This window comes from Homo sapiens, chromosome 2 (assembly GCF_000001405.40).
Source record: "Homo sapiens chromosome 2, GRCh38.p14 Primary Assembly".
NCBI lineage: Eukaryota > Metazoa > Chordata > Mammalia > Primates > Hominidae > Homo > Homo sapiens.
The window spans coordinates 223,753,986-223,777,354 of NC_000002.12; the positions used below are offsets into that span (position 1 = coordinate 223,753,986).

General features: G+C 41.6%; 1 protein-coding gene across 4 annotated transcripts in view, besides 2 other annotated features; it reads right to left on the reverse strand.

Annotated features, from left to right (window-relative positions):
* Window positions 1,341–23,369, reverse strand: part of AP1S3 (adaptor related protein complex 1 subunit sigma 3) — an 82,257-nt gene continuing 60,228 nt past the window's right edge. The window contains exons 3-6 of one of the 4 annotated variants that reach the window (NR_110905.2): window positions 21,916–22,024; window positions 19,328–19,366; window positions 11,228–11,365; window positions 1,341–4,765 (exon numbers count right to left, since the gene is read on the reverse strand). Coding sequence is in view for 2 of the 4 variants with exons in the window: in NM_001039569.2 (NP_001034658.1) it covers window positions 4,730–4,765; window positions 11,228–11,365; window positions 21,916–22,024 (283 nt within the window). In the remaining 2 variants the exon portion in view is untranslated. The remainder of the gene's footprint in view (window positions 4,766–11,227; window positions 11,366–19,327; window positions 19,367–21,915; window positions 22,025–23,369) is intronic. The other 3 variants (NM_001039569.2, NR_110906.2, XM_011510600.4) reach the window with 3 other exon arrangements.
* Window positions 6,927–7,221: a silencer, noted in NCBI's record as "tiled region #2258; K562 Repressive non-DNase unmatched - State 24:Quies". NCBI's record gives its function as "represses a minimal TATA promoter and a strong SV40 promoter by Sharpr-MPRA in K562 cells {active_cell/tissue: K562}" and the evidence as "EXISTENCE:reporter gene assay evidence [ECO:0000049][PMID:27701403]".
* Window positions 7,744–8,113: an enhancer, noted in NCBI's record as "active region_17172". NCBI's record gives its function as "activates an Ori minimal core promoter by ATAC-STARR-seq in GM12878 lymphoblastoid cells {active_cell/tissue: GM12878}" and the evidence as "EXISTENCE:reporter gene assay evidence [ECO:0000049][PMID:35858748]".

Genomic DNA, 23,369 nt, shown 5'->3' on the forward strand with positions numbered 1-23,369 from the left:
CCAATACTTTGGGAGGCCAAGGTGGGAGGATCGCTTGAGCCCAGGAGTTCGAGATCAGCCTGGGAACTCAGGGAGAACGCCCCTCTTCCCCCACTTCTCTAAAAAAAGTTTAAAAATTAGCCAGGCATGGCAGTGCATTCCTGTAGTCTCAGCTATTTGGGAGGCTGTGGTGAGAGGATCCCTTAAGACCAGGAGTTCAAGGTTGAAGTGAGCCATGATCATGCCAGTGCTCGCCAGCCTGGTCAACAGAGCCAGACCTTGACTCAAAAAAAAAAAGGCAGCCCTAGATGTTACAGACCTTTCTGTTTTTAGCAATATGTGACAAAATAGATGATTTCTGCTTAATACCAAAGTACATGGTCTACTGGTAAACTTGTGTCAAGAGTTAAAATAAGAATTAAAAAAAAATTAATGGTTGTCCTTTGCAAATTATTGGAGAATATTTATTGGCTTGCTTTGCTCATATTCCTCAGCATCTGAATGAACTTAATCAAAAATTTTCAGGGACCATTGTGAATAAGTACATTATCAGGTAAAATTTACCAGTAAAATGTATTGATTATAACTTAGAAAGGTGAAATTAAACACAGTTCACCAATGATGTTTCGTAGGTATTATAACATGAATTCTAAAGAAGACGCTGGCTGAGCGCAGTGGCTCACGCCTGTAATCCCAGCATTTTGGGAGGTCGAGGTGGGCAGATCATTTGAGGTCAGGAGTTCAATACCAGTCTGGCCAACATGGTGAAACCCCGTCTCTACCAAAAACACAAAAATTAGCCAGGCACGTGGCGCATACCTGTAATCCCAGCTACTCGTGAGACTGAGACACAACAATCACTTGAACCCAGAGGTGGAGGTTGCAGTGAGCTGAGATCACACCACTGTACTCCAGCCTGGGCAACAGAGTGAGACTCTGTCTCAAAAAAGATTAGAACAATACATTTGACTAAAGCTTTATCATTATTTTAGGAGGTTTGATATGGAAAAAAAAGTTTGAATCAAAAATCCATTTGCTTTATCACAAAAATTGTCAACTTTACATTTGTTAATGAAAGAAAAGGAGCTGTCACTAGATTTAAAAAATGATCACATCATTAATTACGTGTAAAGAGATCAGATTACCAAAATGTAGGTGAATGATGAGAAAAGTCAGTAGGAGCAAAAGCAATAAATACTCTTCTCCCATTTGCTACCACTTACTTTTGAAGTTGCTTCTTGTTGGTAGGTACCAAGAAAATAAAGAGGTCATATTAAAGAGACATCACCAGGAATTATGAGTAGCAATTTCAAACATAAAATCTGACTTAAAAAAAAGTGTATTCATGAAAACACACCAAGTTCCTCATTAAAACATGTTAAAACATTTTATTTTGGAAGTTTTATAGAAATTTAACATTTACTGTCTTTCTCTTGGTAGTTTTATAGTAATTATATAATATAAAGAAAACACAATGACTATTTTAGCCTAGGCCCATGGAAGATGTCCCTAAAATCCCTCAAATTTACCCCACTGTGCCATATAGATATGTTTACTTACTTTCATTTTTTTTTTTTTTTTTTTGAGACAGGGTCTCACTCTGTCACCCGGGCTGGAGTACAGTGGCGTGATCTCAGCTCACTGCAACCTCTGCCTCCCGGGTTCAAGCGATTCTCCTGCCTCAGCCTCCTGAGTAGCTGGCACTACAAGCATGTGCCACCACACTTGGCTAATTTTTGAATTTTTAGTAGAGACAGGGTTTCACCATGTTGGCCAGGCTGGTCTCGAACTCCTGACCTCAGGTGATCTGCCGCCTTGACCTCCCAAAGTGCTGGGATTACAGGCGTGAGCCACCTTGCCCAGAAGAGATATATTTACTTTCTATGTGTGACACTGATTGAAGTCTGAGAAGCCCTGTCCATAACTAAAGTGTCTAATATGGAATTATCCAGAACATGTGTAGTATATTTGAATGAGGTTCAAGAGATACCTTTATCCAAATATGGTGACAAATTTCAAAAGAACCGGAAAAACTATGATGGATTTACATGAGGTCCATCTTTACAAAATTGTATTGAAAAATAAAGAATTTGGCCGGGTGCAGCGGCTCATGCCTGTAATTCCAGCACTTTGGAAGGCCAAGGCGGGCGGATCACCTGAGGTCGGCGTTCAAGACCAGCCTGACCAACATGGAGAAATCCCAACTCTACCAAAAATACAAAATTAGCCAGGCGTGGTGGCGCATGCCTATAATCCCAGCTACTCGGGAGGCTGAGGCAGGAGAATCGTTTGAACCCAGGAGACGGAGGCTGCAGTGACCTGAGATCACACCATTGCACTCTGGCCTGGGTGACAAGAAGCGAGGAAAGAAAAGAAAGAAAAGAAAAGAAAAGAGAAAAAGAAAGAAAGAAAGGAGGGAGGGAGGAAGGGAAGGAAGGAAGGGAGGGAAGGAGAGAGAGAGAAGAAGGAAGGAAGAAAGGAAGGAAAAGAAAGAAAGAAAGAAAAGAAAGAAAGAAAGAAAAAAAGAAAGAAAAAATTCTAACACATTAAAAAGTTAAACCACAAAACTGAAGGTTAGCTAAAGTAAACACAGTGGTCAATCATACATGATAAACTTCAAGCTGATGCCATAATTGTAATTACATGGTAACCTGAAGAAATATTGGATAGTAAAAGCCTAATGATTATTTTATATGCTAATCTGAGTTATTTCCTTTGAACAATGGTTATATTGAGGAATTGGTGAATTTTTCCCTTTGTTCTCCTGCTTGCTTTGCTGTTTTCCCTAAATATGTCTGCTGAGATGAACTAAAGAGAACATTTTTCCATCGAGTTCTCTAAAAATCTACCAGATGGGATCTCCTAAAGAATCCAACAGGAAACACACTCTTCTAGGAAATCACTGGAGGTCCCAAACCACTCTAATATGAATGATACCAGACCTCAAAGCTAACATTGAAAATGCACAGGTAAAACATCAAATAGCAGGCAGCAAGACAGAATACTACAAGCTTTTACTTTTTCTTTTTTTTTTTTTTTTTCTTGAGACGCAGTCTTGCTCTGTCACCCGCCTGGAGTGCACTGGTATGACCTTGGCTCACTGCAACCTCTGCCTCCTGGGTTCAAGCCATTCCCCTGCCTCAGCCCCCTGAGTAGCTGGGATTACAGGCACCTGCCACCATGCCCGGCTAATTTTTTTGTTTGTTTGAGACGAAGTCTCGCTCTGTCGCCCAGGCTGGAGTGCAGTGGCACAATCTCAGCTCACTGCAACTTCTGCCTCCCAGGTTCAAGCGATTCTCCTGCCTCAGCCTCCCAAGTAGCTGGGACTACAGGCACGCACCACCACTCCCGGCTAATTTTTGTATTTTTAATAGAGGTGGGGTTTCACCTTGTTGGCGAGGATGGTCTTGATCTCTTGACCTTGTGATCCGCCCACCTCTGCCTCCCAAAGTGCTGGAATTATAGGCATGAGCCACTGTACCCGGCCTAATTTTTGTATTTTTAGTAGAGATGGGGTTTCATCATATTGGCCAGGCTGCTCTCGAACTCCTGACCTCAAGTGATCCACCTGCCTCGGCCTCCCAAAGTGCTGGGATTACAGGTGTAAGCCACCACTCCCGGCCTACAAGCTATTTCCCTGTAATATGTCTGATCACTGTTAGGACCTGGTTATACAGAATTTTCATTCCAGGAAGCACAAATGTGATATACTTACAGTAATAATGGTCAGCAGCAAATCTTTTCTTTGGGGAGGAAAGGGTAAGAAAAGAAAAAAGAAGGAAAGGAATCTACCATATAGGCTGTGATAATCTTAAATGCTCTAAGTAAGCCATGTAATAAGTCTTCAAATGCATTAGAGATACATTAAAACATATTTGAAATGAAATTTCCAGCATCTAAGAGTGCTTGGAACGTGAATTTTAAAAAATAGTAGCAATAATTATTATTGCTATTAATTCTTATCATACTATTTTAGAATAATAAAGGAAGTCATAGATGCTGTATCTCTAGGTCTCTATAAACCTTAATAAATATATAGTTCATAGAAAACCTTATTGGAATGTCCCTTATATTCAATTAAAAGATAAATTAAAACCTCAGTCAAGATAGCAGCTTCTAAGGCATCAAAAACACTTATTAAGTTCTATACTCTTTGGTTATTTTCATAATCCCAATTCTAAAAAAAATAAATGAATTCAGCACATTAAAATCAGACATTTTGTATGTGAATTGCAGTTACAGTACTATTAAGTGTATGAAAAATGTCTAGCATTACATATAAACTCTGCACTATTAACATAATTTTGAATTATTATACAATTTAGAAAACTAAACATTTAGAAAAAGTATTAATGACATCATATATACTTTACATTCAAAATCATGGATTATTACAATATTGTGTCAAATGCAAAAAAAATTGCAGCTAATGTATCTAAACCAGCTTAAAAACATAACATGGAGTTAATACATTACAAATATTGTCTGTTGGGTTAGGTGGTAGTTACTTTAAACATTTAGAGCTACAAGTACCTATACAGTATAACACAGACACATAATTTTTTTTAATAATACAGACACATAGTAATTATAAATATGTTAAACAACTTTAACTTTGTTAGTTAACAAAGAATCCCTTTAAATTATTTTTGGCATGGTGCCTGAGGCTCCATCAAAAAACCGGATGGGAGGCGTTGCTTATTTACAGCTTCATAACATGTAGTGCTGGAGTCTTCAAGTAGATTTCCAGTTAAAATGTAGGCTTGTTCATGTATTCTTCCATTGTCTGAAAGCGAACAATAAATTAGAACAATTTTCCCTTTAAGTCACAGCCTTCCGCAGACTGTGAAATCTTCTGCATTCTTTTATTTATTTGCCATTGTTGAAAACAAGTTGTCAAAAGGATACATGGATATAAAATCTTTGCATTCTAATCAAAGTTTGAGTATAATTTGTATACACATCCATATGGGGCTGGAATTAAGTAACTTTCAACTGAGAAAAAGTTAAGCTTGATCATAAAGTGAATGTCTGATAAGAGAAATGCTTGGCCAGTGTGGTGCTCACGCCTGTAATACCAGCACTTTGGGAGGCTGAGGTGGGCAGATCACCTGAGGCCAGCCTGGCCAACATGACAAAACCCCATCTCGATGAAAAATACAAAAATTACCCGAGTGTGGTGGCATGCACCTGTATTCCCAGCTACTCGGGAAGCTGAGGCAGGAGAATTGCTTGAACCGGGAGGCGGAGGTTGAAGTGAGCCAAGATTGCACCACTGCACTCCAGCCTGGGTGACAGAGTGAGACTCCGTCTCAAAAACAAAAAAAAAAAAGAGAGAGAGAGAGAGATTGAAATGCTAAAGCAAAGTTGCCAAGATATCACTGTTGACTTAAGATAAACACGTTTGCTAAAATGATCAGGAGGACCACATCCAGGTACGTGTATTAGAGAATTCTGAATTACGTCTGTATAACATATGTATCGTTACCTATATTGTGCAGAGCATCTTTATTATACATATTGTCAAGACAAAAAAGATAAACAGACCAAAATTCTTAAGAATTTCTTTACTTCTCTACAAGGTTCACAGGAAAAAATGTATAGTTTCTGCCATATGTTTTCAAAGGCTTCCTCCCAAAGTATACAAATTATGTTTCTTTTTAACTTTTAAGTTCAGAGATACATGTGCAGGTTTGTTATAGAGGTAAACGTGTATCATGGGGATTTGTTATACAGATGATTTCATCATCCAGGTATTAAGCCTAGGACCCATGAGTCATTTTTCCTGATCCTCTCCCTCCTCCCACCCTCCACCCTCTGAAAGGCTCCAGTGTGTGTTGTTCCCTTCTATGTGTCCGTGTGTTCTCATCATTTAGCTCCCACTTTTAAGTGAGAACATGTGGCATTTGGTTTTCTGTCCCTGCACTAGTTTGCTCAGAATGATGGCCTCCAGCTCCATCCACGTCCCTGCAAAGGACATGATCTCATTCTTTTCATACTGTCCATCAGTTACTAAGTTTGCTAACATGCCCCAAAGCCATAATATTTTTTTTCAGCATTTAAAAAAAAATGTTTGAACAGACTCACAATTACAGGTAGAGTTCAAAGTTAACAGTGATGTTCCAGGTTCTATACCATGCAAGACAGATGGGCTTTCTCTTGCACACTCTCCTACTTTAAACATATATATTTGTGTCACACCAGGGCCCCAAGTTGAATCAATAAGAAAGCTCGAGAGGACAAAAAATCACCTGCCTCTTTCGTTTGAGTCACGATCTGCTCATTTAGCAATCCAAGTTCAACTTGTTCTTAAGCTTAAACTCCAGGGTATATGATTCATGTGAACCTGCCAGGAAATACGCTGACTGACATGGGCTGAAGATACCAAGGCTACTGGCCGAGCAAGATTGCTCAGGAGATACTAGGGCTAGAAATCTGCCCTTACCTTCAAAAGAGGTTTTCTAACTGGTTTTCACCAACTCTATCTAGAATTCCAGAGTTCTGCCAGAAAACATTTGTATTCAGTCATCCACATTTACTCAACAAAGCTCTCACCTCCTAAGTGGGCATTGGCCAAGACAGCCCCATACCCATCTACCCCTCTACAGATGCTGCCCGTGGGGTCTTTTAACTTAGCAGAGGGATCATACAGGCCATTGGGCCATGCTGGTTTTATGGAATCTAGAGTTTACACCATTTACATGGGAATACAAAGTTACAAATACAAAATCAGGTATAAAGTGTACTTAGAATGAGAAAAGAAACGACCACAGATTGTGAATTTTGAAGATGACAAATATCACAAAATAAAAAATGGTTGCATGTTATTTTCACGAATTAATTGCTTGACACTCCTCTATCATATATTATATTGTATGGCTACGTACTTTTTGCAGTTAAAATATCTTATTTTTGCAAAGTGGACAAAAACCCATGACCAGATGAGAGCATTGCTAGGCCCTGCCTGTAGCCTCGGGAGGGGCCTGGAGTTGACACTTTCCTGTCTTTGTGGTTCAGTGGCCTCTAGTCATTGGCACTGCTCACATCACCAGATGACTCAGTCTGCTAAACACCACACTGGCTGCCCTGTCTGAGCCGAGCCAGGCTGGTTACTCAAGCTATGTAAACCAATAAGGTAAAAGTTGGCATTTTCTTGAGCTTGCCACTTTAAAGGTTTGGGGCAGACTTTTAGAGCTGGCAGAACCTTAGTTGCTCTTACCTTCTCAAGACAGGAGCTGGAGTCTGTATCTTGGGTCCTCTTCTGGATACATCTAGCTCTGCTGTGTTTCTTATGCATATAGCACAGTGTATGTTATGACTTCCTACTGCATTGTGGTTTGGCCTAGCTGTTAACATGGTTTACGCTTTTAAGGGTGACAGTGTTAGGGTGCACCTAGCAGTTTCGCCTGCATCCACACGAGGGCACATAGAATCCTATTGCTCATGAGATACAATCTGACCCTCCCCTTCTTTTTTTTGAGACAGGGTCTCACTCTGTCACCCAGGCTGAAGTGCAGTGGTGCGATTACCGCTCACTGCAGCCTTGACCTCTCGGGCTCAAGTGATCCTTTCACCTTAGCCTTCCGAGTAGCTGGAATTACAGGTGTACACCACCATGCCTGGCTAATTTTATTACTTTTTGTAGAGACAAGGTTCTCACTATGTTGCCTAGGCTGGTCTCAAAACTCCTGGGCTCAAGCGGTCCTTCCGCATCAGCCTTCTGAGTAGCTGGGATTACAGGTGCACACCACCACACCTGGCTAATTTTATCATTTTTCTGTAGAGACAAGGTTCTCACTATGTTGCCTAGGCTGATCTCAAACTCTTGACTTAAGCAGTCTTCCTGCCTGGGACTCCCAAAGTGCTGGGAATACAGGCATGAGCCATCGCATCTGGCCTTGAGCCTCCCTTCTTGGCAGGCTGTTAGTTGGGGTAAAATATCTACTGTTTGTCGCTCCTACCTATTGCAAGTCCTGTGGTTAATGACCACTATCGCCTTTGAGAGTTTCATTTTCTTTTCTTTTTTGAGACAGAGTCTCACTCTGCCGCCCAGGCTAGAGTGCAGTGGCATGATCTCGGCTCACTGCAACCTCCGCCCCCTGGGTTCAAGCGATTCTCCTGCCTCAGCCTCCTGAGTAGCTGGGATTACAGGAGCCCACCACTGCACCTGGCTAATTTTTGTATTTTTAGTAGAGACGGAGTTTCACCATCTTGGCCAGGCTGGTCTTGAACACCTGACCTCGTGATCCACCTGCCTCGGCCCAAAGTGCTGGGATTATAGGCATGAGCCATTGTGCCCAGCAATTTTTTTTTTTTTTTTTTTTTTGAGATGGAGTCTTGCTCTGTCACCCAGGCTGGAGTGCAGTGGTGGAATCTCGGCTCACTGCAATCTCTGCCTTCTGGGTTCAAGCAAATCTCCTGCCTCAGCCTCCCAAGTAGCTGGGGTTACAGATGTGTACCACCACACCTGGCTAATTTTTGTATTTTTAGTAGGGATGGGATTTTGCCATGTTGGCTAGGCTGGCCTCGAACTCGTGGCCTCAAGTGATCCGCCCACCTCGGCCTCCCAAAGTGTTGGGCTTACAGACGTGAGCCACCACGCCCAGACAGAGGGTTTAATTTTCCTTCTAATAACTTTGTGCCATTGTCCACATTGTTGTTACCCCCAAATAAGTATTCCCAACCAAGTAAACAGTTCCTTTCTTTTCCTCTTATCAACATCTAGCCACCACACGCTCAGAATAAGCTTTGAGCATTTGGAGATTTGAGGCTATGTCTTCTTACTAAATCCGCAGGCAGGTGTAGCTTTTTAAAAGTTATTATTCTAAGAAACTGTTATTAAGTAGGAGCTAGAGAAAAGTCTTAGGGGCTACTGAAGATTGACAGCTGTTCTCACAGCTAAAGCAATGTCACAAAGGCCTCCCTTAACCTTCAGTAACTACAAATATATGATTGGGTCCAAAGGACAGGAAAAAAAAAAAAGCAGTAATTATTTTCCTTTATGCAAGTATACTACTGGCTCCTATCCAGTTGAAACCTCTTAAGCAGGCAAGATATGCAAAGTCAATTCTTCAACAAGCTCCCCAGAATATTTACTGACTTCACTGAATACCAGAGCCCAAGAGAACACTAATAACACTCTCTGTATTTGGCAAGTGTTGTTAGCGCAACAGAAGAGACTGAGAGGGTGGCCATGACATTGCCTGCTCACCATAGGGACACCAGGGCTAAATGCAAGGTCCCCTGAGACCTACCCATCAAGCCCCTCCACTCATTCACCAATTAGCATTTAATTGTGAAAGAGCTCACTCTTGAAACACTTACTTCCTAGATTTAAATGGAACCAGCAACACCAGATTTATGACAACCTTTTTAAAACATTTCCTAATTTGAGAGGATTTCAAATTAACCCAGGTGTGTCTTGGCCCCCAATTCAGCTTTAATTACTGAAGTGCCAAAGACTCCGTTAAAAACTCTGTTTCTCCTGTAAGGAGACTCCACAGTCAGGACCCTGAGGTCCTGAAGTTAAAAAAAAACCTCCACCCCCTCCACCTGCCCCCAACTCCCAGAGTATTTTATGAAACACTGTTTTGTGAAATTTCCAAACCACTGATTTCTCAAATACCTTGTAAAGTTTTCCTCCCTGTGGCATTTGGAGACAGCCAAATCAACATCAGAGAGTTTAGATGCACTTTTTGAGGTCAGACACCTCTGGTAATGAATGCATTGGCCTTCTAATAGGCACACGCAGCTGCTTACGGCACCCACTCAAATAGATGTTTTCCTCCACATCCATTCACCAGAGGACTGATGCTCTGGCTGGGCAGGAGCAAGTAATCAGCCTAAAGATGCACCAAAACAGTTGCTGGGAATTCACACCTAATGGTGTTTTGTTAATTTAATCACCCTCTTCCAAATAGCAGGAAAAAAGTAGCTTTAATGCCAGTTTTACTTATTTATTTATTTATTTATTTTGAGATGGAGTCTCGCTCTGTCACCCAGGTGGTGCTGTGGTGCTATCTCAGCTCACTGCAACCTCCGCCTCCCGGGTTCCAGTGGTTCTACTGCCTCAGCCTCCCAAGTAGCTGGGATTACAGGCACACATCCCCATGCCCGGCTAATTTTTGTGTTGTTAGTAGAGATGGGGTTTCACCACATTGGCCAGGCTGGTCTTGAACTCCTAGCCTCAAGTGATCTGCCTGCCTCGGCCTCCCAAAGTGCTGGGATTACAGGAGTGAGCCACCGCATCCGGCCAAATGCTGATTTTAAAAAGGTGCTTTACAATGCTCTGGATCCTCTTGACCTACTTATTTGAAAATAGGAAGATGGGAAGACCCACTGAGGCTGTGGGAAGAAGAATCTAGGGGTGGCAGGTCTGGGATGGAACCCAGCCCCTCAGAGCATCTCATTTGGGAGGGCAGAGGTCAGTGGGGTGAAGTGCTCTTTCTCACAGTGTCCTGGGAGGAATGGAGGGGCTGATGTAGGTAAGTTCCCTGAGGAGGTATGATGCAAATCTGTGCGGCTTCTAAAAGAACATTCCCACTTTATTTTATATAGAAATCCCAGAGTCCAGGGCAGTACAAAATGGATGCTTCTGGGCCCATTTATACCTTGGCAAGCAAACCACAGTGTTCCCAATTTCTTTATGCAAGCAGGAGCACACATACAGCCTTCCCAAAAGGTGTAAGAAATTTTAATTAAAATGATAAATGCCATGCTCAATAATAAAGCTTTAATATCTCTGGCAAACAAAATAACAATGTACTGCTATTCTCCTTTCCCAGGGAAGCATAGGTATTTTAATGAAAGTCTTTTTATACATCTCATAAAATTATTCTTGAAAAGAATAGCACTAAGTATTTGATACCTTTTTGGCAGTGAAGGACTCTTGCACTCCAAAGCTCATCCAAATGTGAAGAGCAAAGACTCTAAAGCCCAATTGCCTGGGTTCAAATCTCTATGCCACACTTCCTAGTGGAATAGAGGAATTCCACACTTCCTGTGTGAAATTGAGCAGGTCATTTAACCTCTTGGTGTCTCAGTTTACTCATCTGTAAAGTGGGAGTAACAATACCACCTACTTTTTCGAGTTGTTGTGAGGATTAAATAAGCTAATACATATAAATAGTTTAGAAACTGTACCCAGCACAGAGTAAGTACTCAGTAAGTCTGGTTAATATTATAATTATTAACACCATCATCATCATCATCATCATCTTTCTCCCATGGTTTGGGAAACCGTACTGACCTCCTGTAACATATCAGAGTCTTCAATGGCTTTGACAGCAATTTTCTTGGATGTTTCCTGAATTTCCCCACCTATTATAAACTCGTCCAGGATGAAATAAGCCTTTTCAAAATTAAAGATAATATCCAGCTCACAGACCTGGTGGGACAAAAACAAACGTTTTGATAAACTTGCAGTTGTATCAGGGGAAACATCTGCCCGAATCTCGAGCTTTTTCAGTTTGCACTCATGTGGCGTACCAAAAATAAAAATATCAGATGGCATTTTAAGGACAGAAAAAAAGAACAGGGAATGTCAGGCCTTTAATAAATGGAATGCTACATTCTATTAAAGCAAAGCACATCCTTAGATAATAATGTTTTGTGTTACAACAGGAAATTTGAGGCTCAGTAAGGGAATGAGGCCACTCGGCTCCTCTTCCTATCTGCACCAAGAAAACTGAGCCCCAGCTGCATTCCAGGAAGGAGGGCAGAGCTTTGTTTCTCCTGCTCTCTGCTCTGTAAATCTTGGCTTCTAGCTTTAGAACTCTCTCAGAAACTAATTCTTCAGAGGAAAATTAGCTCAACTGTGCTAATTTTTCTCAAAATTATGTCACAGCCAGTGGTTCTCAAACTCATTCCAAAGGCTCATTAAAACACACTGGTGCTACAGCCCACCCCCAGAGTTTATGACTCAGGAGGTCTAGATGAGAACTGAGAATCTGCACTTTTAACAGGTTCCCAGGTGATGCTGAGGCCGCCGGACTGCGGGATTTCACATCCAGAATCCCTGGCGCGGATCAAAGCAGAGTCTGATAGATTTTGGTGTTTATTTAAGTGTAGCAAGTATGGCAAGATCACTCCCATCATCCAAATAAAGCTCATTTCCCGTACTCACACACCATCCTTGCTGTCTTACTCCCTACTTATTCCTCTACTCACTGACACCTTCTCTTTCCATACCATACCCCACCCACCCAACTGAAGCTGTTCTCCTGAAACTCTGCTCATTGAGTCTCCAGACTGCATAAATGTCTTCTTTTGAGAAGCGTCTGTTCATATCCTTCGCCCACTTTTTGATGGGGTTGTTTTTTTTCTTGTACATTTGTTTAAGTTCTTTGTAGATTCTGGATATTAGCCCTTTGTCAGATGGATAGATTGCAAAAGTTTTCTCCCATTCTGTTGGTTGCCTGTTCACTCTGATGATACTTTCTTTTGCTGTGCAGAAGCTCTTTAGTTTAATTGGATCCCATTTGTCTATTTTAGCTTTTGTCACTAGTCATTAGAAAAATGCAAATCAAAAACTACAATGAGATACCATCTCATGCCAGTTAGAATGGCGATCATTAAAAAGTCAGGAAACAACAGATGCTGGAGAGGATGTGGAGAAATAGGAATGCTTTTACACTGTTGGTGGGAGTGTAAATTAGTTCAACCATTGTGGAAGACAGTGTGGTGATTCCTCAAGGATCTAGAGCCAGAAATACCATTTGACCCGGCAATCCCATTACTGGGTATATACCAAAGGATTATAAATCATTCTACTATAAAGACACATGCACATGTATGTTTGTTGCAGCACTGTTCACAGTAGCAAAGACTTGGAACCAACCCAAATGCCCATCAATGATAGACTGGATAAATAAAATGTGGGACATATACACCATGGAATACTATGCAGCCATAAAAAAAGATGAGTTCATGTCCTTTGCAGGGACACAGATGAAGATGGAAACCATCATTCTCAGCAAACTACTACAAGAATAGAAAACCAAACACGGCATGTTCTCACTCATAAGTAGGAGTTGAACAATGAGAACACATGGACACAGGGAGGGGAACATCACACACCGGAGTGTGTTGGGGGGTGGGGGGCAAAATACCTAATGTAGATGGCAGGTTGATGAGTGCAGCAAACCACCATGGCACATAAATACCTATGTAACAAACCTGCACATTCTGTGCATGTATCCCAGAACTTAAAGTGTAATTTTAGAAAAAGGGAGGAGAAAAAAAAAAGAAAGAAAGTCTCCAGACCTCCCCAACGTTTACCTCTCAGCCACATGTGGTACTCTTCACCAATCTCTCTTCCTTGAAAATCTCTTCTCCCTTGCTCCCCTGATTTTGGCAATACCACTTAATGCCTGTTTTTCTTGTCTATCTCTGATAATTCCTTCTCAGACTCCTTGGATAATTTATCTCCCTCCTACCCTGCATTTGTTTAAGAAGTATTTAAGGTGTGCCTAGCACATATCAGTCAACAGAACAGACAAACATCTCTACTGCATGTTGCTTATATTCTAGCCATCCATCTTCTGCTTGAATATTCATGTTCCTCAAGGGAGCCTCTTCTCTTTGCAAAATGCATATTCTCCTGGACAATCTTGCTGACTCTCTACAGCTGTGTCTAGCATGCAGGTAGCTCAACAAACCTAGATGACTAGCCCTGATCTCCCTCTGGGCCACTAGTCCAATATTCTCACCCACTAACTAGACATCTTTACCTACCTATTCCTCAATCCATGTCACTATGTCCCAAGCTGATATCAAGATTATTCTTTTTCCTTTAGTCCCTATTTTGCTTAGTAGTTGCAATCTCTTTCTAATTTCTCCATCTAATTCATTCTAGAGTTCAACCAACATACTTCCCCTTCCCCACTCATTCCTCTCCCTCCTTGATCTCATCCCTCTGGATTTGGTCATCAGTTTCTACTGATTCTATTGTCTAAATAAGTCCCTACCCTTCCTGTCTTCTCTGCTTTCACAGCTGCTGCTCAGGCCTACAGCACTTCTCCATCAGGCCACTGCAATGACCTTCCAGGTGGCGGTTGTGCCTGCTCAGGGCCATTGACCACTAATGCTTAGCTAAAATGCTGATCTTGTGCCTCTCCAGTGTAAGGTCTTCAGGACAAAGGCATATAGGAATCTTTACCAGCCTGGGCCCTGCTGTCTGATTTCCCGTGCCAGTTCTCATCCATGCATCTGACACACATGCCACAAACTCACAATGTCACGGTGTTTTGTGCCTTTGCTTTCTGCACATTCCAACAATTCTTGAATTGTGTCCCCAAATGTCCTTTTCTTTATTCTCCTGCTGGCAAAACCAAGCTCATTTTTTCAAGGCCAAATTCAAAAGTCAGGCATGTGGCGATTCCCCACATCCCCTTTTCCCCATTCAGATTTCACATCACTTCCTGTGGGTTCTCACTTACATCTTCTGTGCACTAGTTTCTGCTTATTGATTACTAATCACTCCCCCGTACTGTGAGTTCAGGGCAGAAACTTTGTCTTCATTATCTTTATATCCCTGGTTTCTGGCACATTGTAAGACACAAAAAATGCTTGTAAGATAAATGAATGAGCAAGTTTAAGTAGAGGCCTTGTCTGGGCATGGTGGCTCACGTCTGTAATCCCAGCACTTTGGGAGGCTGAGGCAGGCAGATCACTTGAGGTCAAGAGTTCAAGACCAGCCTGGCCAACATGGTGAAACCTTGTCTTTACTAAAAATACAAAAATTAGCCAGGCATGATGGTGCACGACTGTAATCCCAGCTACTCAGGAAGGTGAGGCAGAAGAATCACTTGAACCCAGGAGGCAGAGGTTGCAGTGAGCCAAAATCATGCCACTGCACTCCAGCCTGGGTGACAGAGCAAGACTCCTTCTCAAAAAATAAAAATAAATAAATATAGGCCTTGTTTCTAATATGCTAGAGATTAATGGCATCCCAGATACAATTCTATGGTTGTACTGAATGCTATAACTTTGCATGAAATAGATGTCAATATTTTAGCAAATTCCTCCATATACTTACAAGTTAGGTCAATAAACTAGCAAACTTCACAAGGAACATGGTTTAAGTCAACAGATCCAAATGAATCCAACTTCCATACAGAATTACCATGGCATACTGGGGGTATATCACAGTTTATTTAAGCAGTTCCTTTATGGATATGGGCAGACTTTGGGCTGTTTCCAGTTTTTATTCTAAATGATGCTGCCATAATTTTTGTTGTGTATTGTATACTAATTTGAGTATAGTGTAGGAATAAATTCCTTGGGGAATTTTGGGTCAAAGGATTTGTATATTTAAAATTGATAAATACTAAAATGTGGTCCTCCAAAGTAGTCTATAAAACTTAAAAGTTTCACTAACAGTAGGAGTGATTACCTATTTATGCCATCTCCAGCAATGGATAGTCTCTAAATTTTCGGATGAATATTAATTAAACTTGCATTTCCCTGCTTATTAGTGAGACTGTACATCTTATTAGATATGCACTGGCCCTTTCCATTTCTTGCCTTGTCTACAAATTGCTTCTTAAAGACTTTGTTTTTTTCTATTGTAATATTTGTCTTAGAAATTTGAATGATTCTTTCGGTGTCACAGATACTGTCTCCTTTCCCTGCTGTTGTATATGTTTCAGCTATGTAGAAGCTGAAAAGAATAAGGTAGATTTACATGCACAAATATGGCAAGAGCTCTAAGATAGACTTGTAAGGAGGAAAAAAAAGAAAGTTGCAGAATAATATGCAGAATGCAATCCCATTTTTTTTTTTTTTTTTTTTTTTTTTTGAGACGGAGTCTCCCTGTCGCCCAGGCTGGAGTGCAGTGGCGCGATCTCGGCTCACTGAAGGCTCCGCCCCCCGGGGTTCACGCCATTCTCCTGCCTCAGCCTCCCGAGTAGCTGGGACTACAGGCGCCCGCTACCTCGCCCGGCTAATTTTTTGTATTTTTAGTAGAGACGGGGTTTCACTGTGTTAGCCAGGATGGTCTCGATCTCCTGACCTCGTGATCCACCCGCCTCGGCCTCCCAAAGTGCTGGGATTACAGGCGTGAGCCATCGCGCCCGGCCGCGATCCTATTTTTAAAAACCGTATATGTTTAGAGGGACATGTAAAAATATGCATCATTTTTGCAGTTTTAAACAATAGAAAGAAACAAAAAGAAATCACAATAGATTAGACATCCATGTACATGAAAGAAGGTATGAGAAGAAAGCAGTTACCAGAGGTCAGAAAAGGCAGAAGTCAGGAGTTATAGTAGCAAGCTGAGGAACCTCGGAGTTCAAGGCAGGCGTAGACCAGGAATCCAAGACAGACAGGAGCCTCATTAGGAGAAACCAGCAATTAAACTCCTGCAAAGTGAACCTGACAGATACTAATGAAAATTCTCCAGGAACTTCTTATACCCCACTTTGACACGTCCCCAGGTCTGGGTCCTCCAGCAGCCATGGGGCAATTAATTTACTGTACTAGTTTCAAGGGATAAGGGTAAGGTAAGGTGGTATTCAGAGTTAGAGAGACAATACACACACACACACACACACACACACACACACACCCCTTGATATACAGTTACTATCTGTAGCTCTGAAGAGAAATGTATATGCAAGTTCCATAGGCATTACAGAGAATGTTACAACTGAGCAACTATTTCACATACAGCAACACAAAAGTGCTACCCTATAGTTATTCTTTGAGTCTACTGCCATCTGAGAATGAGAGAAAATATCCAGGAAGACCCTTAGACCAGTTCATTTTTTTTTTTTTTTTTTTGGAAACAGTCTTACTCCGTCACCCAGGCTGGAGTGCAGTGGAATCATCTCAGCTTGCTGCAACCCCTGCCTCCTGGGTTCAAACTATTCTACCGCCTCAGCCTCCCAAGTAGCTGCGATTACAGGCATATGCCACCATGCCTGGCTAATTTTTTTATTTTTATTTTTAGTAGAGACAGGGATTCACCATGTTGGCCAGGCTGGTCTTGAACTCCTGACCTTAAGTGATCCCCCCCACCTTGGCCTCCCAAAGTGCTGGGATTACAGGCATGAGCCACCGTTCCCAGTCCCAAGTCAGGTTTCTGAAGCTACTGCCTAATTACTTATGCCTGTAATCCCAGCACTTTGGGGGGGCTGAGGCGGGCTGATCATTTGAGGTCAAGAGTTCGAGACCAGACTGGGCAACATGGTGAGACCCTGTCTCTACTAAACATACAAAAAATTAGCCAGGCATGGTGGCACACGCCTGTAATCCCAGCTACTCGGGAGGCTGAGGCAGGAGAATCGTTTGAACCCAGGAAGCAGAGGTTGCAGTGAGCCAAGACTGCACCACTGCACCCCAACCTGGGCAACGGAGTAAGACTCTGTCTCGGGAAAAAGAAACAAAATAAAATAAAATAAAATAATAAATTCCACCTTGAGGTTGTCCCAATACAACAAAAATATGTACTTGATGCTCAAGTGATTCCACTCCTTCTAATTATGCAAATACCCCGGCTTCTTGCTCCCTCACCATGTTAATAAACATGAGCCTCTTTATTTATTTTCTCGTGTATCTAGATTCTGAATAAAGCTTTCAAATGGTAGAAACTATCATTTAACTTTATCTTCAATGTCCTAGCCTTGTGCTCTTCTGTAATTTGGCTTAAGGTTCTTTTCTTACAGCAGAATTCATGGTGCAGTGAGATTATTTCTGGCATTTCACCAACTGAATCCTTTTGGACAGAATCTAAGAAGCACATGTACTTATTAAATGATGCTCTAAAGTAAATACAAAAAGTTTCAAGTTACATGCAGCAAATGCTTCAAATAATAGTAAACTATATAACTACCATAAAGCTATATATAAAATAAGAATAGGCCGGGCACAGTGGCTCACGCCTGTAATCCCAACACTTTAGGAGGCCGAGGTGGGTGGATCACCTGAGGCCAGGAGTTTGAGACCAGCCTGGCCAACATGGCAAAAACCCATCTCTACCAAAAATACAAAAATTAGCCAGGCATGGTGGCACATGCCTGTAATCCCAGCTACTAGGGAGGCTGAGGTAGGAGAATCGCTTGAACCCGGGAGGCGGAAGGTGCAGTGAGCCGAGACCGCGCCACTGCATTCCAGCCTGGGCAACAAGAGCGAGACTCCGTCTCAAAAAAATAAATAAATAAAATAAAACAAGAATAATTATAATGCAATGTACAACTATATAGCAATTAATAGTTTATTAAGTATTGCTATCACGCCATCTCTTTGCCCCTCCCAGCAGCCCTATAAGGTTAGCAAAGTAAACACTTCTCTTAACCTTTTTGAGGGTCATTTTTCTCATCTGCAAAACGGAGACACATGACAGGCCCCAAATCCTTGAATTGGTGAGAGAGTGAGCCTACACCAGCATCCGGGGGACCCATAGTGCTCTTCCCCTGACAGCAAAAAACAAACAAACAAAAAACTCCCTACATCAAATTCAAAAGCTCTCTGGGAGATCAACATCCTCACACACTGAGGCACCAGTAAAAATTCACACTGTAGTCTGTAATGCAGAAATATGGCAGGTATCTAAATCCTCAGACTCTTATCTGGCATGAGACTTTGAGGCATTTCCTCTGAGCCTCTATAAATTGAGGTTAATGCTACTTACTGAAGATCGGAAGATTAACTAGTTAATCCTCGTAAATCTCCTTGGAATTGAAAAGTGCTAAAAAAAAATACATAACTTAAATTAGTAGCCAGAGATTTTGATCCGTCTGTCTTCAGCAGATAATATTTTCCAGTGTTATAAGAGAAGCTCAGTACCAAGTTTTCCCCTAGATAACATTATATAAGGGCAGAATTCAAGGAAAGCTTTAGTATTAATATGGGAGGAAAAGAAAATCAAAGAGAAATATTTTATTGCTGAGATTATGTCAATGAGAATCAGTACTGGAAGTCTTTGCTCATCACTGTTAATTAACAAGAACCGAACTTCTACTGGGCATATAGCCTTGAATTGCTCTTAGCTGCTCTTAGCTTAATGAAAGATTCATTGAATTTTTTAATAAATTAAATTTTGGTACATGACAAAGACAGAGCTTCCAAAGGTATACCAAAATAGAATGGGAAATTAATGTTAGAGAAATGGGAATTCATTCTGACTCTCTTTGTACTTTAACTGGGTTTAGCATTGGTGAAGGTCACTCAAGTTCTCTTGAGAAGCATAATGCCCTGAGATATCTGGCTGAAATTTGGTCAGATAGATTGAGATCAAAATTCAGCCCCAATTCACATTATCACAGTTGGTTTAATCTAGGAAAATACAACAGGTCAAGCCGGAGTTCAGAAATGAGAAAGAGAAGGCAGGTTACGGGAATGCCCAGACCTCAAGGAAACTTCTTCAGGCTCTTGCAAAAGGCCAAGTCTGTAGTTTATTTCAAAGGAAAGTACAAAAATGTGAGAATTCATTTGAATAGTAGAAAGTATTAAATAATATGTTTGAAAACATGTTATTATACATTTGCAAATTTCTCCTTAAAAAAATGAAAATAAACTTGGTATACCAAGAGGAGAAAGAAAAGATGGTCTAGTTGTCTTATTGCTGTTATATACTGACCAACAACCTGAAATCCCTGAAGCAACATTTTAGGTCTTAACAACATCATTTACAAGGGGGAAAAAAGGGAGGGAGGAAAAATTCTTTCAGAAATCTTTCCAGTGTTCATCCTTATGAAAAGTGTTGCAACAAATCTGATAAAACGTGTTCAATATTGCAAATACTGCTCATTCCATTAAAGAGAATAACAACAAGAACAAAAAAAAACTCTGCTGGAAGCAAATTATCCTAACACTTAACAAAAACTTCAGTGAGTAAGGGAATAGGGAAGAGGGTATTATGAGAAGAAAACATTTTCCAAATCCAATGATTTATTTCTTGAAACTGTGAAATGGATTAAATGTTTTTGGAACATTTGCTATCAAGTCTGGCCCACAGCTGGTTACAAGTTAAGCGGTGGGGGGATAAAATGAGTCACAAAGCACTGGTCTCAAGAGAATTGCAATTTGGTGGTCAAGCAAATCGGGTGCCAGTTAGGGACACTCCAAGGTCATTTCTTGTTGCTGGAGAACTGTCAGGTATATAAAAAGGGAAATGTAGGCTGGAGGCAGTGGCTCATGCCTGTAATCCCAGCACGTTGGGAGGCCAAGGCAGGCGGATCGCCCGAGGTCAGGAGTTCAAGACTAGCCTGGCCAACATGGTGAAACCCCATCTCTAATAAAAATATAAAAATGAGCCGGGCATGGTGGCGGGGGCCCGTAAACCTAGCTACTCAGGAGGCTGAGGCAGGAAGATCGCTTGAACTCGGGAGGCAGAGGTTGCAGTGAGCAGAGATCGTGCCATTGCACTCCAGCCTGGGCAACAAGAACAAAACTCCGTCTCAATAAATAATAAATAAATAAATAAATAAATAAATAAATAAATAAATAAGGGTAGTGTATCAAGGATGGAGGAGTGGTCAGGGATCCATGCTTTGAAAGGTTAAACAACAGGCTGGGGGGGTTGATTTTATTTATTGTACATGATGGAAAGTGGCTGTGAAGGAATGCCACACCTATATCTGGTTTTTTTAAGGAAGATGGTAACTAATAGGGCAAGAGGGCGAACAGAGAAAAGCTCAGAGGCATAAAAAGCCAGGTAAGATGTTTAAGAGAAAAGCAAAATTGAAATCCCAAGTGAACCTATATTAGTGAGAGTGGAAAGAAGGAAATGAATGTCAGCCCAATTTGAATAGACAGAGGCAGATTCTGGTAAAGCATAGGAAAAGACAAAACAAGCTGCGTCCTTTTGCACTGAAGGATCCTGGAACATAACAAATTCCAATCACAAGACAGAACGGATTTTCAGTAGATGAGTTTGGTTCTGGGCCATGAGAAGCCCAGTGAAGACTGTCACCAACAAGGGGAAGAAGAGTCACTTAGTAAGGGATTTCCAGGACAGAGCGTCAGTACACACAGAGTTAGGAAGAGATGAGGGCATTTAGGGCTGGGCAGAGGAAGGGAGCTGAGTGGAAGAAACCAAGGAGGCGCTTCAGAAATCAATGTCATGGCAAAATCAAGAAGGGCGAATTTAAAGAAAGCGTCATGGTGAGCAAGGGTCCAGTGCTGCAGCGAGAAGCAGGTGAAAGCAGGTGAAGACTCAAGAGGAATCGCTGGTGTCAACCCGCAGGAGGGTTCAATGGTAACTTGCTGATTTCCCTGCAGAGTAAAGATGGACCCATGCTGTAAGCACTGCCGAGTGAATGAGTTCTGAGGACTGGAGCACCTAGCATAGTACATCACTTGGCAGAAAATGCAAAAAGATTATTGCATAGCAATGTGAAGGAAAAGGATTTGGGTTTTTTGTTTGTTGCTATTTTTCTTATGCATAAATAATTAAGAATACTTATAGCTTAGAAAAAAAGCCAGAGAAAGGATAAAAAGTCAAAACAGAAAAGAGACGACAAAGCCAATGAAGAATAAAGAACAGAATATCAAGAAATCCTTCACAGTTAAATTCTGGTTCACTGAAATAAGGTCTCTGGTGTATTTGTGGTATGAAGATAAAGATACATCCACCTCTTGAAAGCTTTGGGTGGCTGGGCACGGTAGCTCATGCCTATAATCCTAGCTCTTTGGGAAGCTGAGGTGGGAGAATTGCTTGAGGCCAAGAGTTCAAGACCCACCTGGGCAACATAGCAGGACTCCATATCTATTTAAAAAGAAAAAAGGAAAGCTTTGGGTCTTTCATTTACTAAGAATTATAGGTAGGGAGAAAAATCTTGTATTCTAATCTTAGGGGGACTAAGGTGATCTTCGGTTCAAGTTCAATTCATATTTTAGATGTGACAGAGAGAAGGGATGTGACCAGAGACAGAACTGAAGTAAGAGCTGAGATGGGGACTGTAGCTAATCCTAACCGACAAGGACAACACTTACATTTCCAAAATATTTGTCCAGCAGCTCCACGTAACGATGCACAATCTCTAGCGTCAAGAGCTCATTGTCCTGATTTTCTATTGCACAGCAAAAATATAAACTAGCATACCTTGAAATGAAAAATAACAAAAGCAAAATATGACAATACATTAAGCAACCTGGAGACAGTTTTTCCCACGAATATGCAGTCACCTCCTCCCCCGCCGAGCCTCTCCTCATCCAAGAATGAAATCATTATTCATCACCCCCAATAGCCTCCTGAAATATAAATCAGAATATATGAAAATTCTGTGGGGGTTGGATTACTTCCATTAATTACGCATGAAAGACTCTCAACAAAATTTTACCTTGAAGAGCTATTATCAGGAGGACAGTATCCTTTCGCTCTTGGTAATCAGGGTGTCTTCACACCCCTCTCCAGCTTGTCAATTGTTTTTTGTAAAATAGAAAGCCCTGACCAGTGCTGTCAGGAGCCCACGCTCCCCACCCTCCCACTTCACAATGGGCTTCAGTCATTCTGTGTGAGCCTCCCTCCTCAATTTGTCAAACTCCAACCTTGGGCCCAGCAGAAGGAGCTTTGCAGGCACTTGCTGGTAATTTACTCCATTGAATATCAATCTGTGAAGGTTGCCTCTGTTTTTCCCAACGAGCTTTATAAACACCCTTTGCAAGAGCATATCTAAGGATCATAACTCCTTCCGGGAGTTGCAGTAGGGTGTTGGATGCAGGGTCAGGTCAGCTGTGTTCTGTTCCTGGCTTAGGCATCAATTACCTGGGTCTCCAAGGGCAAAATTATGTTACCTCTCAGGCTTAGTTATCTCATCTATAAATTGAGGGTCCTTTCTAGTATGGTCTTGCCATGGCAAGCAGATATGGTAAAAACAATATACAGGCTTTAAAGCCAAAAAGATCTAGATTTGAATCCTGGCTCTACCAATTAACACTCAATTACTGTGACTGGGAACTGACTACTTAAACTCTTCATGTCCTCAATGTACTCATTACAAATTCAAGTAACAGGCATAATAAGAGCTGCCCCACTGAACACATCCCCATCTCTCTGTCATACTAACCTCCAGTTTTTCCAAAGCACTTGTTACTAAGTGAAAATATTGTATTTGGTTACTTAATAAATATGTATACTACATGACAGCAGGAATGTCATCTGTCTTGTTCAATGATGTATCACAGCCATTAGAACAATGCCAGGAATGGCCGGACATGATGGCTCACGCCTGTAATCCCAGCACTTTGGGAGGCCAAGGCAGGTGGATCACCTGAGCACAGGAGTTTGAGACCAGCCTGGCCAACATGGTGAAACCCCGTCTCTCTTAAAATACAAAAATTAGTCAGGCATAGTGGCAGATGCCTGCAATCCTAGCTACTCAGGAGGCTGAGGCAAGAGAATCGCTTGAACCCAGGAGGTGGAAGTTGCAGTGAGCCAAGATCACGCC